At 42.2% G+C, this 13,597-nt stretch overlaps 1 protein-coding gene across 19 annotated transcripts in view, besides 2 other annotated features; it reads left to right on the top strand.

The window, feature by feature from the left end:
- Positions 10,151-10,651: an enhancer, noted in NCBI's record as "H3K27ac hESC enhancer chr2:98206492-98206992 (GRCh37/hg19 assembly coordinates)". NCBI's record gives its function as "activates a minimal SCP1, AML or CMV promoter by ChIP-STARR-seq in primed H9 embryonic stem cells {active_cell/tissue: H9 hESC(primed)}" and the evidence as "EXISTENCE:reporter gene assay evidence [ECO:0000049][PMID:30033119]".
- Positions 10,169-10,358: a silencer, noted in NCBI's record as "silent region_11791". NCBI's record gives its function as "represses an Ori minimal core promoter by ATAC-STARR-seq in GM12878 lymphoblastoid cells {active_cell/tissue: GM12878}" and the evidence as "EXISTENCE:reporter gene assay evidence [ECO:0000049][PMID:35858748]".
- ANKRD36B (ankyrin repeat domain 36B) overlaps positions 10,803-13,597 on the top strand; it is a 97,215-nt gene continuing 94,420 nt past the window's right edge. For all 19 annotated transcript variants that reach the window (XR_007078917.1, XM_047445328.1, XM_047445323.1 and 16 more), the window contains exon 1: positions 10,803-11,155. Coding sequence is in view for 18 of the 19 variants with exons in the window: in XM_047445328.1 (XP_047301284.1) it covers positions 10,995-11,155 (161 nt within the window). In the remaining variant the exon portion in view is untranslated. The remainder of the gene's footprint in view (positions 11,156-13,597) is intronic.

The raw sequence follows: 13,597 nt of genomic DNA, 5'->3' as shown, positions 1-13,597 counted from the left end.
CTACATTTGATTGGTGTACCTGAAAGTGATGGGGAGAACGGAACCAAGTTGGAAAACACTCTTCAGGATATTATCCAGGAGAACTTCCCCAACCTAGCAAGGCAGGCCAACATTCAAATTCAGGAAACACAAAGAACACCACAAAGACACTCCTTGGGAAGAACAACCCCAAGACACATAATTGTCAGATTCACCAAGGTTGAAATGAGGAAAAAATATTAAGGGCAGCCAGAGGGAAAGGTCGGGTTACCCACAAAGGGAAGCCCATCAGACTAACAGCGGATCTCTCAGCAGAAACTCTACAAGCCAGAAGAGAATAGGGGCCAATATTCAACATTCTTCAAAGAACTTTCAAGCCAGAATTTCATATCCAGCCAAACTAAGGTTCATAAGTGAAGGAGAAATAAAATCCTTTACAGACAAGCAAATGCTGAGAGATTTTGTCACCACCAAGCCTGCCTTACAAGAGCTCCTGAAGGAAGCACTAAACATGGAAGGGAACAACCAGTACCAGCCACTGCAAAAACATGCCAAATTATAAAGACCATTGATGCTATGAAGAAACTGCATCAATTAACAGGCAAAATAGCCAGCTAACATCATAATGACAGGATCAAATTCACACATAACAATATTAACCTTAAATGTAAATGGGCTAAATGCTCCAATTAAAAGACACAGACTGGCAAATTGGATAAAGAGTCAAGACCCATCATTGTGCTGTATTCAGGAGACCCATCGCACGTGCACAGACACACATAGGCTCAAAATAAAGGGATGGAGGAAGATCTACCAAGCAAATGGAAAGGGAAAAAAAGCAGGGGTTGCAATCCTAATCTCTGATAAAACAGACTTTAAACCAACAAAAATCAAAAGAGACAAAGAAGGCCATTACATAATGGTAAAGGGATCAATTCAACAAGAAGAGCTAACTATCCGAAATACATAGGCACCTAATACAGGAGCACCCAGATTCATAAAGCAAGTCCTTAGAGATCTACAAAGAGACTTAGACTCCCACACTATAATAATTGGAGACTTTAACACCCCACTGTCAACATTAGGCAGATCAATGAGACAGAAGGTTAACAAGGATATCCAGGACTTGAACTCAGCTCTGCACCAAGTGGAACTAATAGCCATCTACAGAACTCTCCACCCCAAATCAACAGAATATACATTCTTCTCAGCACCACATCACACTTATTCTAAAATTGACCACATAATTGGAAGTAAAATACACCTCAGCAAATGTAAAAGAACAGAAAGCACAACAAACTGTCTCTCAGACCACAGTGCAATCAAATTAGAACTCAGGATTAAGAAGCTCACTCAAAGCCACACAACTACATGGAAACTGAACAACCTGCTCCTGAATGACTACTGGGTAAATAATAAAATGAAGGCAGAAATAAAGATGTTCTTTGAAACCAATAAGAACAAAGACACGATGTATCAGAATCTCTGGGACACATTTAAAGGACTGTGTAGAGGGAAATTTATAGCACTCAATGCCCACAAAAGAAAGCAGGAAAGATCTAAAATTGACACCCTAACATCACAATTAAAATAACTAGAGAAGCAAGAGCAAACACATTCAAAAGCTAGCAGAAGACAATAAATAACTAAGATCAGAGCAGAACTGAAGGAGATAGAGACACAAAAACCCCTTCCAGAAATCAATGAAACTAGGAGCTGGTTTTTTGAGAAGATCGACAAAATAGACCACTAGCAAGACTAATAAAGAAGAAAAGAGAGAAGAATCAAATAGACACAATAAAAAATGATAGAGGGGATATCACCACCAATCCCACAGAAATACAAACTACCATCAGAGAATATTATAAACACTTCTATGCAAATAAACTAGAAAATCTAGAAGAAATGGATAAATTCCTGGACACATACACCTTCCCAAGACTAAACCAGGAAGAAGCTGAATCTCTGAATAGACCAATAACAGGTTGCGAAATTGAGGCAATAATTAATAGCCTACAAACCAAAAAAAGTCCAGGAGCAGATGGATTCACAGCCGAATTCTACCAGAGGTACAAAGAGGAGTTGGTACTATTCCTTCTGAAACTATTCCAAGCAATAGAAAAAGAGAGAATCCTCCCTAACTCATTTTATGAGGCCAGCATCATCCTGATACCAAAGCCTGGCAGAGACACGACAAAAAAATTGAATTTTAGACAAATATCCCTGATGAACATCGATGCAAAAATCCTCAATAAAATACTGGCAAACTGATTCCAGGCAAACTGAATCAAAAAGTTTATCCAGCACAATCAAGTTGGTTTCATCCCTGGGATGCCAGACTGGTTCAACATACACAAACCAATAAACGTAATCCATCACATAAACAGAACCAACAACAAAAACCACATGGTTATCTCAATAGATGCAGAAGAGGCCTTTTGACAAAATTCAACAGCCCTTCATGCTAAAAACTCTCAATAAACTAGGTATTGATGGAACGTATCTCAAAATAATAAGAGCTATTTATGACAAACCCACAGCCAATATCATACTAAATGGGCAAAAACTGGAAGCATTCCCTTTGAAAACCAGCACAAGAGAAGGATGCCCTCTCTCACCACTCCTATTCAACATAGTGTTGGAAGTTCTGGCCAAGGCAATCGGGCAACAGAAAGAAATAAAGAGTATTCAATAAGGAAAAGAGGAAGTCAAATTGTCCCTGTTTGCAGATGACATGATTGTATATCTAGAAAACCCCATCGTCTCAGCCCAAAATCTCCTTAAGCTGATAAGCAACTTCAGCAAAGTCTCAGGATACAAAATCAATGTGCAAAAATCACAAGTATTCGTATGCACCAATAAGAGACAAACAGAGAGCCAAATCATGAGTGAGCTCCCATTCACAATTGCTTCAAACAGAATAAAATACCTAGGAATCCAACTTACAAGGGATGTGAAGGACCTCTTCAAGGAGAACTACAAACCACTGCTCAACAAAATAAAAAAGGACACAAACAAATGGAAGAACATTCCATGCTCATGGATAGGAAGAATCAATATCATGAAAATGGCCATACTACCCAAGGTAATTTATAGATTCAATGCCATCCCCATCAAGCTACCAATGACTTTCTTCACAGGATTGGAAAAAACTACTTTAAAGTTCATATGGAACCAAAAAAGAGCCTGCATTGCCAAGTCAATCCTAGGCCAAAAGAACAAAGCTGGAAGTGTCACACTACCTGACTTCAAACTATACTACAAGGCTACAGTAACCAAAACACCATAGTACTGGTATCAAAACAGAGATATAGACCAATGGAACAGAACAGAGCCCTCAGAAATAATGTCACACATCTAAAACCATCTGATCTTTGACAAACCTGACAAAAACAAGAAATGGGGAAAGGATTCCCTATTTAATAAATGGTGCTGGGAAAACTGGCTAGCCATATGTAGAAAGCTGAAACTGGATCCCTTCCTTACACCTTATACAAAAATTAATTCAAGATGGATTAAAGATTTAAATGTCAGACCTAAAACCATAAAAACCCTAGAAGAAAACCTAGGCAATACCATTCAGGACATAGGCATGGGCAAGGACTTCATGACTAAAACACCAAAAGCAATGGCAACAAAAACCAAAATTGACAAATGGGATCTAATTAAACTAGAGAGCTTCTGCATAGCAAAAGAAACTGCCATCAGAGTCAACAGGCAACCTGTAGAATGGGAGAAAATTTTTACAATCTACCCATCTGACAAAGGGCTAATATCCAGAATCTACAAAGAATTTAAACAATTTCACAAGAAAAAATCAAACAACCCCACAAAAAAGTGGGCGAAGGATATGAACAGACATTTCTCAAAAGAAGACATTTATGCAGCCAACAGACACATGAAAAAATGCTCATCATCACTGGCCATCAGAGAAATGCAAATCAAAACCACAATGAGATACCATCTCACACCAGTTAGAATGGCAATCATTAAAAAAGTCAGGAAACAACAGGTGCTGGAGAGGATATGGAGAAATAGCAACACTTTTACACTGTTGGTGGGACTGTATACTAGTCCACCCATTGTGGAAGACAGTGTGGCAATTCCTCAAGTATCTAGAACTAGAAATACCATTTGACCCAGTGATCCCATTACTGGGTATATACCCAAAGGACTATAAATCATGCTGCTATAAAGACACATGCACACGTATGTTTATTGTGGCACTATTCACAATAGCAAAGACTTGGAACCAACCTAAATGTCCATTAATGATAGACTGGATTAAAAAAATGTGGCAAATATACACTGTGGAATACTATGCAGCCATAAAAAAGGATGAGTTCATGTCCTTTGTAGGGACATGGATGAAGCTGGAAACCATCATTCTGAGTAAACTATCGCAAGGACAGAAAACCAAACACCGCATGTTCTCACTCATAGGTGGGAATTGAACAGTGAGAACACTTGGACGCAGGATGGGGAACATCACACACCAGGGCCTGTCAATGGGGTGAGGGGAGGGGGGAGGGATAGCATTAGGAGACATACCTAATGTAAATGACAAGTTAATGGCTGCAGCACACCAACATGGCACATGTATACATATGTAACAAACCTGCACGTTGTGCACAGGTACCCTAGAACTTAAAGTATAATAAAAAATCATATGAGAAAAAAAAAAACCTTCGCACGTACCCCTTGAACCTAAAATAAAAGGTGGGAAGACAGAAATAAAATAAAAGAGATTGTCAGTGTAGATTAAAAAGTTGGACTCAACTATATGTAGTCTACAAGAAACACATTCTAAATATAAAGATGCACCTGCATAAATTAAAGGGATGCAGAAAGATATACCATACTAACACTTATCAAAAATACCCCCAACATATCTCTATTAATTTCAGGCAGAGCAGCCTTAAAGAGCAATAAAAGTTACCATAGATAAAGAAGGACATTACCTAAGAAAAAGGAGTCAATTCTCCAAGAAGACATGACAATCCTGCATGTGTGTATGCACCTAACAACAGAGCATAGAAATATGTTTAATTTACACTTATCTTCTTATGAGCCATGTTGCGTAACTTTTCACATGTTTAAGATCAACTTCCAATTATTTTCCTATGAAATCTCTCTGTGTATCTTTTTAATTTTTTCAATATATTGTTGGTCTATTTCCCCTAAATTTGTAAGAACTATTTGTATATTAGAGATAGCACCCCTTTGTCTATGATATAAGTTGCAAACCTATTTTCCCACTCTTTCATTTGTTTTCTGACTGTGGTGGTAGTCTTTTCTTGCCATGCAAAAAATTTTGTTTTGTTTGTCTTTGATGTAGTTGAATTGACCAGTCTTTTAAAATTGTGTCATTATTAGATGAGCGACTTTCTTTCCAGCTCACCTGAGAATGTGTTTTCCTGTTGAGCTACAGAATGAGCATTGGGTACTTTGTGTTCCTCTGAGAAAGAGAAGAGGTGTGTCTGGCAGCCAGGAGTTGACCTGGTCCTATCTGCTGGGCATTGGCGATGCTGTGAGCTGCCTGGCACCCACAGATGGATGTTGATGTTCTCTTGTGAGCATAAACAATTCCATAGAACATCTGCTTCAGACCATATCATTTTGTGCCAATACTTAAGACAAAAACAAGACCTCTTCATAATCATGTCTGAGCATGAGCAAAGCATGAGCATTGTTCATATCACACAAATGACCAATGTGTCTCTATTCTAGCTAAGATGAGTAACTACTGTTTCTTCACCAACTACAGCTTTAACGTTCTTTACCAATTATAGCCTTAACCCATTAAGGCTTTAATGCAGGTTTACATCTTTCCACATAAGATTTATTAAGATACCCTACTATGCTAGAATTACCCCCACTTCGTGACAACACCCAATTCAGAACGAAGCCCCATTTCCTTAAACCCTTCTCCCAGATTATTGCCTAACACAACCCCAAATCTTCTAAGTCCTTTCTGTTGTCCTCTTAGTGAGACACCCCACCGTTCCCTGTAGTTTGTATTCTCCCTCACTTAACCAGTAATAACTCACTTCTTCAACTACAGGTGTGTTCATGGTGGCCTTTGATTGGAGCCCATTAACATCTCCACTTTTCCTGGTAGCCCAAGGGAATGGGGAGGCAGTAGAGGGAAAGGGCAGCTGAGGGCTCTGAGCATTGGTTAGAATGCTTGGGCAACAGATGGCTCTTCCTGTTTCAGTACCATGAGGACTCCCCTGGGCATTGGATTGCTTTCCTCATTCCATGTGTAGCCTTGACTTCTCTTAGAGGAAGTGCACCCTGATGTCCCTCCACCTTGTTTCTCCTGTTTCTCCCCAGCATCTGTTTCCACCAGTCACCAGCAAGGGGAGGATCGTATAAGGACACCCTTCAGTGTCAGTGTGCTTCACTATGCTCAAAATCACCGGATTTGGAGGTGGATGTGGAGGGTGGGGCTGGAGGACGGAAGAGGAACTTAGGAGCTAAATGCTGTCCCTCTCTATTTTGCTCCAGAATGTTCTTTTCCTTTCTCTCTTTGAGTCACCAGTTTCTTTACTGTATTAGGCTATGCCCCTTTCCTTGTTTTATTGCTATCAGTCATTTCTTATTGGCCTTTATAATTTTATTAGTACCAGGATGGAAAACTCTACAATATTGTTTTTCTCCAATACCGAAGGCATCTCCTCTCCTCATCCCTGCTCTTTCCCTCCAGTTAAAAAAGATAAATAAACACTCCCTGTTGACAAATGTCTTTTCTCTTTTCTGTAGACTCTGCGAGTTCTCCTTTCAGTTTATGCTTTTGGAAACAAAAGTCCTTGTCTGTCCTTCAGGTGTGAGTCAGAGCCAGATTCCTGACTAAATGGAGGGAAGGTTAAGAAAAAATACAATGAGAAATTCATTATAAGAAATTATTTTGTTGTCATCTAGTCATGTAAGTTTTTTCTTTAGTGGTGGTAACATGTGCTCATTCATCGTAGTTCGTTGCTCATGCCACGTGGTCATTGTCTCATGCTTATGGGCACCTCTCTTTAGTGACACCCACCTATTGGGGGGTCCCATTTGTAAAGAATTTTGTTGATGTGCTGAATACAAATTGATTTCCTAGAGTCTTGTCTGTTTTGGGCTGCTATAAAAGAATACCATAGACTGAGTAATTTATAAAGAACAGAAATTTGTTTTTTCCACAGTTCTGGAGGCTGGGAAGTCCAAAATCCAGGGGCCATTAGATTCATTGTCAGGTGAGTGTCTGGTCTCTGTTTCCAAGATGTCGCCTTGAAGGCTGCATCTTCCAGAGAGGAGGAGTGCTGTGTCCTCACATGGCAGGAGACTGAAGGGCAAAAGGAGTCTAACTTCCTCCATCATTCCTTTTTCTAAGCATATCTAATCCTATTCATGAAGGCAGAGCCCTCATAGCCTAATCACCTCCCAAAAGGCCCCACCTCTTAATACTATCACATTTGTAATATTTGATTTCTGGAGGGGATACATTCAAACCATAGCAGATGCTCATGAAAGTAGAAACAGTGGCTAATGCCAGAGAAAGAAGCTGAGGATCTGGGAAGTCTTACTTGTGGATTTTACGTTATATGTTCCATTCCCACATGTAAATAAATGAGTTAATTGAAATGGAAGAAAATGAAGAAAGATGGAGAATTGTGTCATGGAACAATGGACAGCAGTCATAACATAATGGGTGAAAACAAAGCTCAAATACATGAGGATGATTATATCTTTAACGGTATCTCGAAGCTGTAAGAGATCAAGTCTTGACTTCTATGTTAAAAAAGAAAGAAAACTGATGACCCATATTTAAACTGAGGCATGTGACATTTCTGCTCTACTCAGCACTCTTCACTCATCTAACAAAAATTCATTATGGCTTCTTATGTTCCAGGCACTGGGCTAGGTGTTTAAGGAAGACAGAGGGAGGAAATAAAAATTTTTATAAAACAGTCTTTGTCCTCAAGCAGCTCACAGGGCAGAGAGACCCTGACAGAGTAGAGATTTCATGAAGAGTGGGGATGGGAAGGGCATTCTCTCCATACGCATCCCTGTCCCACCTCGGAGATTTCCTCCTCAGAACGCTACCTCTTACTGCTTTCCTGCCTCACTCTTTCCAGCTCTCAGTTTAGAAGGTGTTTCCTCAGAGCACCTTTGCTGACCTCTCAAGTCTGGTGAAAGGCCCTTCTCACTGGTGCCTGGATGCCCTGTGTGCTCCTGTCATACACACAACACAGCATAGTAAAATGCCTGGTGTATGTGTTTGTCTTTTCAATACTCTGAGCTCTGCTCATTGGCAAATCTCAGGACATAGCACAAGATGTGGCCCCTAAATGTTAACTGAATGAACGAATGGAATCACTGGTATCTCTTTAGCTTGAAGAATAGAAAGCCCTTGTAGGACAAAGAAGATTGGGAGAAATGTGAAGTCTGGCGTGGACTCTGTCAGAAGGCAGAACTGAACCAATGGATGGACTTAGAAGAGAGAGACTTCGGTTTCACATCAGGAATGATATCATAGTCAGAACTCACCACACACATAATAGGTTAGATGAGGGAGGAGGGAGTCCTTCATTGCAGGAGTTTTAAAGGTGAATACAAGAAATGGGAGGCACTTGGCCTGGCGCGGTGGCTCAGGTCTGTTAATCCCAGCACTTTGGGAGGCCGAGGCCGGTGAATCACAAGGTCAGGAGTCGAGACCAGCCTGGTCAAGATGGTGAAACCCTGTTTCTACCAAAATACAAAAATTAGCCGGGTGTGGTGGCGGGCACCTGTAATCCCAGCTATTTGGGAGGCTGAGGCAGAAGAATCACTTGAACCTGGGAGGCAGAGGTTGCAGCGAGCCAAGTTTGAGCCACTGCACTCTAGCCTGGGCGACAGAGCAAGACTCCGTCTAAAAAAAAAAAAAAAAAAGAAATGGGAGGCACTGAGTTTCTGGCTCAGTTTGTGATGCCAGAAATACAGAGATGACTGATCAGTAAAATCCACTAGAAAGTGTGTGACAGGTTTCTTTTTCCTTATATTTTTCTTTTTTAAATACAAAAGTAATAGCAGCCCACTGAAAATTTGAAAAGTATATGGCATTAAAAAGAGAAAAATAACATCTGATAATCCAACAAGATAAACTCTCTAAAATTTCTTTTCTCTTTTTAAATGAATATAGTTAAGCTTGAAATAGAATTTTAAATTTATCCTGATGTTTTACTCAACAGCGGAGAAGCATCTTTTATGTCATTATTTTAAGTCACAACCACTTTTAGTGATGATGATTAAAGAACCATTTGCTTTTTCCTTACTGTTCCCTGTTTTTAGATTTTTGGCTAGTGTCTAATTTTTCCCTGTTATAAATAATGCTGAGATGAACAGAATATGTAGATTTCTAATAATTTGCAAATGAACAGCATATGAAAAACATGGGCAAAAATTTTGCAGTTATAATTACTCAACACAAGTTTTAAATAAATTACTTTTATTTTGAGCGTTCATTCTTACATATGTTATAGGAAGTAAGAAGCATTCCTTACTCCTTAGAATTTTGTTTATAAATTAGTGATGAATTGGAAAGGGTAGCTTGCCCCTGGAATTCTCTGATAAGCACAGGTGATGAGGAAAATGGAGAAATCCAAGAATTCTTTTGTCTTTCCTTAAAAGTAGTCAACTTTAAGTGCAGTGCAGGCGTGCCCTCTAGCGGCCAAATAAAAAATAAATAGGCCTTCAGCCCTGTAACAATCGCACGTCCCCATCTAGTGGCTAACGTCTGTAAATGCAGCTTTTCTAATCACAATAGCGAATGTTACTTGATTTATATTTGTCTTAGGTGAAGAACTGGGAGGACTCTTAGAGATCACGTATTTCAACTTCCTCACGGAGTGGCATGCAGGCAGCAGCAGCCTTGGGAACCCCGATTGCCCCTCCTCACACCTGCCCATCACAGGACTTGGGCGACGGGGTGGTGAAGTCAGGCTGTGGCCCCAGCGGCGCCACGAGGCCGAAAACCGGCGCTCAGCCTCATCCCGGTGGCTGCGGAGTGCCAAGCGCCAGGTCCTGCGCTCTGGGCGTGGGTCAGGAGCAGCTGGCAAGGGCAGCGCAGCCTATGGGGCCTTTGGGCGCGGCCGGCCGCAGCTCCGGGAAGCCACGTCAGCCCACGGGCGCTGCAGCTGCAGCCGCCACCAGCACATGGAGCAGGGGTCCCCGAGGATTGGGAATCCCCGACCAGGCCTGCGCCTCCAGCCGCGCGGACCCCGGGGCCAGCCTGGCCGCGGCAAGTCAGGCAGTCTGCGGCAGGAGCGCCGGGCATGGGCTTCGGCCGGGGGTGCAGGAGGCGCGCACCCTCCGGCCGGATGGCGGCGCACTCAGGGCTCAGGAGGCCATCCCACGGGAGCCCCGCCAGCCCCCGCCGGAGCCCGAGCTGCAGTGCCGCCTGCAAGTGGTGCGCTGGCTGCAGCTGTGGCAACCCCGGATACCGTCCTCCCGCCTCGCACCCATCAGCGCGGACCCCGGGGGCGACGCAGTGGCGATGTCGGGCTGTGGGCCCAGCGGTGGCACTAGGCGGAGAAGCACCACTCAACCCCATCCCTGGGCTGCAGAGGGCCCAGCGCGGGGGGCTCCGAGCGTCGGGAGCCTGTGGAAGAGAAGAGCGCGCGGGCGACAGTTAAACAGGCCCTGGGGCAGGGCGCGCCTCGCGCTCCAGGGAGCCCCGCCCTCCCGCGGCACCTCCGCAGCAACCGCCGCCTGCACCGGGCGCGCGAGAGCTGCTAGGGCGGTTTCTCTGCCTCGGGCCTGTTGGGCAGGGCCGGCTAAGGTGCGCGTGCTCGCTGGTTCTAACCCTTCTGTTGGGCGTTTCTGCGGAGAGGCGGGAGGCGCTGAGAGTCTGCGCGGAGGTCCGTGCACAGACTGCTTTGCCTGTTGTTGCTCTTCGGAGGCGGCGATCCCCGAAGGCGAGCTGAAATACGGCTGCAGGCTACAATTTGCAGCCGACGATTAAGGAAGACGACGAGCGGGAGAGGTGGCCCACCCTCATGGAGCGCTTGTGCTCGGATGGCTTCGCATTTCCCCATTACTACATTAAACCGTATCATCTGAAGAGGATCCACAGAGCTGTCTTACGTGGTAATCTGGAGAAACTGAAGTACCTTCTGCTCACGTATTATGACGCCAATAAGAGAGACAGGAAGGAAAGGTAATGGGGGCCGGGAGCCGGGGCTGCGGGAGGAGGCCTGTGGATGTGGAGAAGTACCCCTTTGCAGGCTGAGGGCTGCGGGGCGGATGGTCCGGGGCTCGGGGTATGGACGGGGGCTAGGGGGTGCCTGGCTGGGGTGGGAGTGAGTGGAGCGGGGCCTGGGGAGTGGCGGTATATGGGGTGGCGGGGTGTGGAGTGAGTTGGGGGATGGGAGTGGGGAGTAGGGGGTGCATGGGGTGGGGGCGTGAATGGGCTGAGGTGGATGGAATGAAGGCTTGGGGGGTAGGGGCGTGGATGGTGTGGGGTGGGGAGATGGGGTGAGGGTTCAATGGGATAGAGGACTGGAGGTGGGGGTGAGGTGTGGGGGTGAATGGGGTGGGGGAAAGGGGTGCAGAGGTGAGGGGGGCGAGTCCTGTCACCAAAGGGGCTGGACTTTCTTTCCTGGCAGGCTCAGCCGCACCTGGGATGTGGAAACCTTGGCGGGGGCGAGCACCCAGGTCATTTTCACAAGCAGCAAAACAAAAACAAAACTTCAGCTGGTTTCCAATCACTCACCATGCTGCTTCTTTATAAATCATTTTAAAGTGATTTCACTAATAAAATTCAGCATGTACAGCGTTTTATTTTTAACGTGCACATTTTAAAGCATAATGTTACATACATTATGGAAAGGTGCATAATGAGAGAAATCATTTCCATAATATATCAACTTCCTGGCTAAAAATTCTTTGGATAAAAATCCAATATTTATTTGATATCAATGGACACCTATGTCAATTTGGTTTTCACTGAGGGACCTTAGAGGGAAACTTTGAAGTGGGAAGATGGTCTGTGTTCTTGAATAGAAAGACACATTTTTCTAAAGTTCTGAGCTCTTTCTGTGTTTATAAATTTTACATAATCCAAATAAAGTTATCAAAGTGTTAACATTTTTGAATTACTCATGCTGTCTTTTACTATTGTGACGACATTAAGAAAACTTTTGAAATGGAGTCAAAAAAGACTTGCCTTTCTAGATATGAAAATGTGCTGTTAATTTCCACAAGTTATTTACTAACAGCTGAAACAACAAATCAGTGAATGGAACAGGTTAGAAAATCCAGGAACACACCAATATGTGTAAGAATATATTAGGTTGGTGCAAAAGCAATTGCGGTTTTTGCCGCAATTACAAGTAATGGCGAAAACCGCAATTGCCTTTGCACCAATCTAATAGAATTGGATAATGGTGACATTTCATATTAGTAGGAAAAGATGAATTACTCATAAATGAAGTGCCTGCTAACTATTTGGAGAAATCTGGCTAGATTTTCATGTCACAGAAATAAGTTCGTTATGGAATGTAGATTAAAAATTTTAAATGCACAAAATAAGAAAGATAACAGAAAAAAACACAAATGCCTACTTATATTGATGCATGTTTATATTCCTACAAATATCACAAGCACACATTCTGAAGGTCGATTTAGCAAAATAAAAAAAATCCAGTTTATAAGAAAAAATTAACAAAAGACAATATGTGTGTATACATATTAGATAAAAAAGTGATTTTCATTTTACAGAGAATTCTTCAAATAAACAAGAACTCTCATTTAAAATAGAGCAAAGCATTTATTTTTCAGATATTCAAGCAACCTATGCACATGGGAAAAAATATTTAGTGTTCCTGGGAGGAGAAGGTATTTAAGTTAAAAAAAGAATGAAATACTGTTTTCTATCCACAAGTTTGTGAGGGTAAAGGGTAGCAGTACATATACTGCTGTTGAAAGTTTACATTTCTGATGACTTTTCAAATAGACAATTTGTTGGTAAGTATCACACTGTAAAAATGTATGTGCCCTTCACCCATCAATTCCGTTATACTAAAATATCTCTAGGAAATAGAGATACATGCAATTTGTTTTTCTCAGCACTGCTTAAAATAGCAGTGTATTTGGAAAACCCCTTATAGTGGATTTTATAAATTTTATAAATTTATCAATAAATTTCAGTGCATCCATAGGATGGGACAATATGGGACCTTTGCAGATGTCAGTAGATACAGATGTATGTTGAGGTGTGAAGATGTACTCTGAAAAAAAGTTGGTTTGATTATACATACACACAAACAATCTATGGTGTTAGTAAGCCAAATATGTGTACAAAATATAACATTTCTTCTTTTCTGGCAGGTGTATTGTGATATTTTTTCTTATCTGTGATGTATAAATGATCAGCATGTTTAAAACTTCTAGTAAATGTTTTTTATTAATGAAATTATCCTTGGGAAAAGAAGAAATATAAATCTTGCAAAGAAAAAAAATTCTCAGTTTCTATTTTATTATTAATTTCTTCGTTTGTTTGTTTATTTTTGAGATGGAGTCTCACCCTGTCGCCCAGCCTGCAGTGCAGTGGCATGATCTCAGCTCACTGCAATCTGCCTCTCAGGTTCAAGTGATTCTC

This window comes from Homo sapiens, chromosome 2 (assembly GCF_000001405.40).
Source record: "Homo sapiens chromosome 2, GRCh38.p14 Primary Assembly".
NCBI classification, from domain to species: Eukaryota; Metazoa; Chordata; class Mammalia; order Primates; family Hominidae; genus Homo; species Homo sapiens.
The sequence above is the reverse complement of the archived record's forward strand: the minus strand, read 5'-3'. Positions and strand labels throughout refer to the sequence as shown.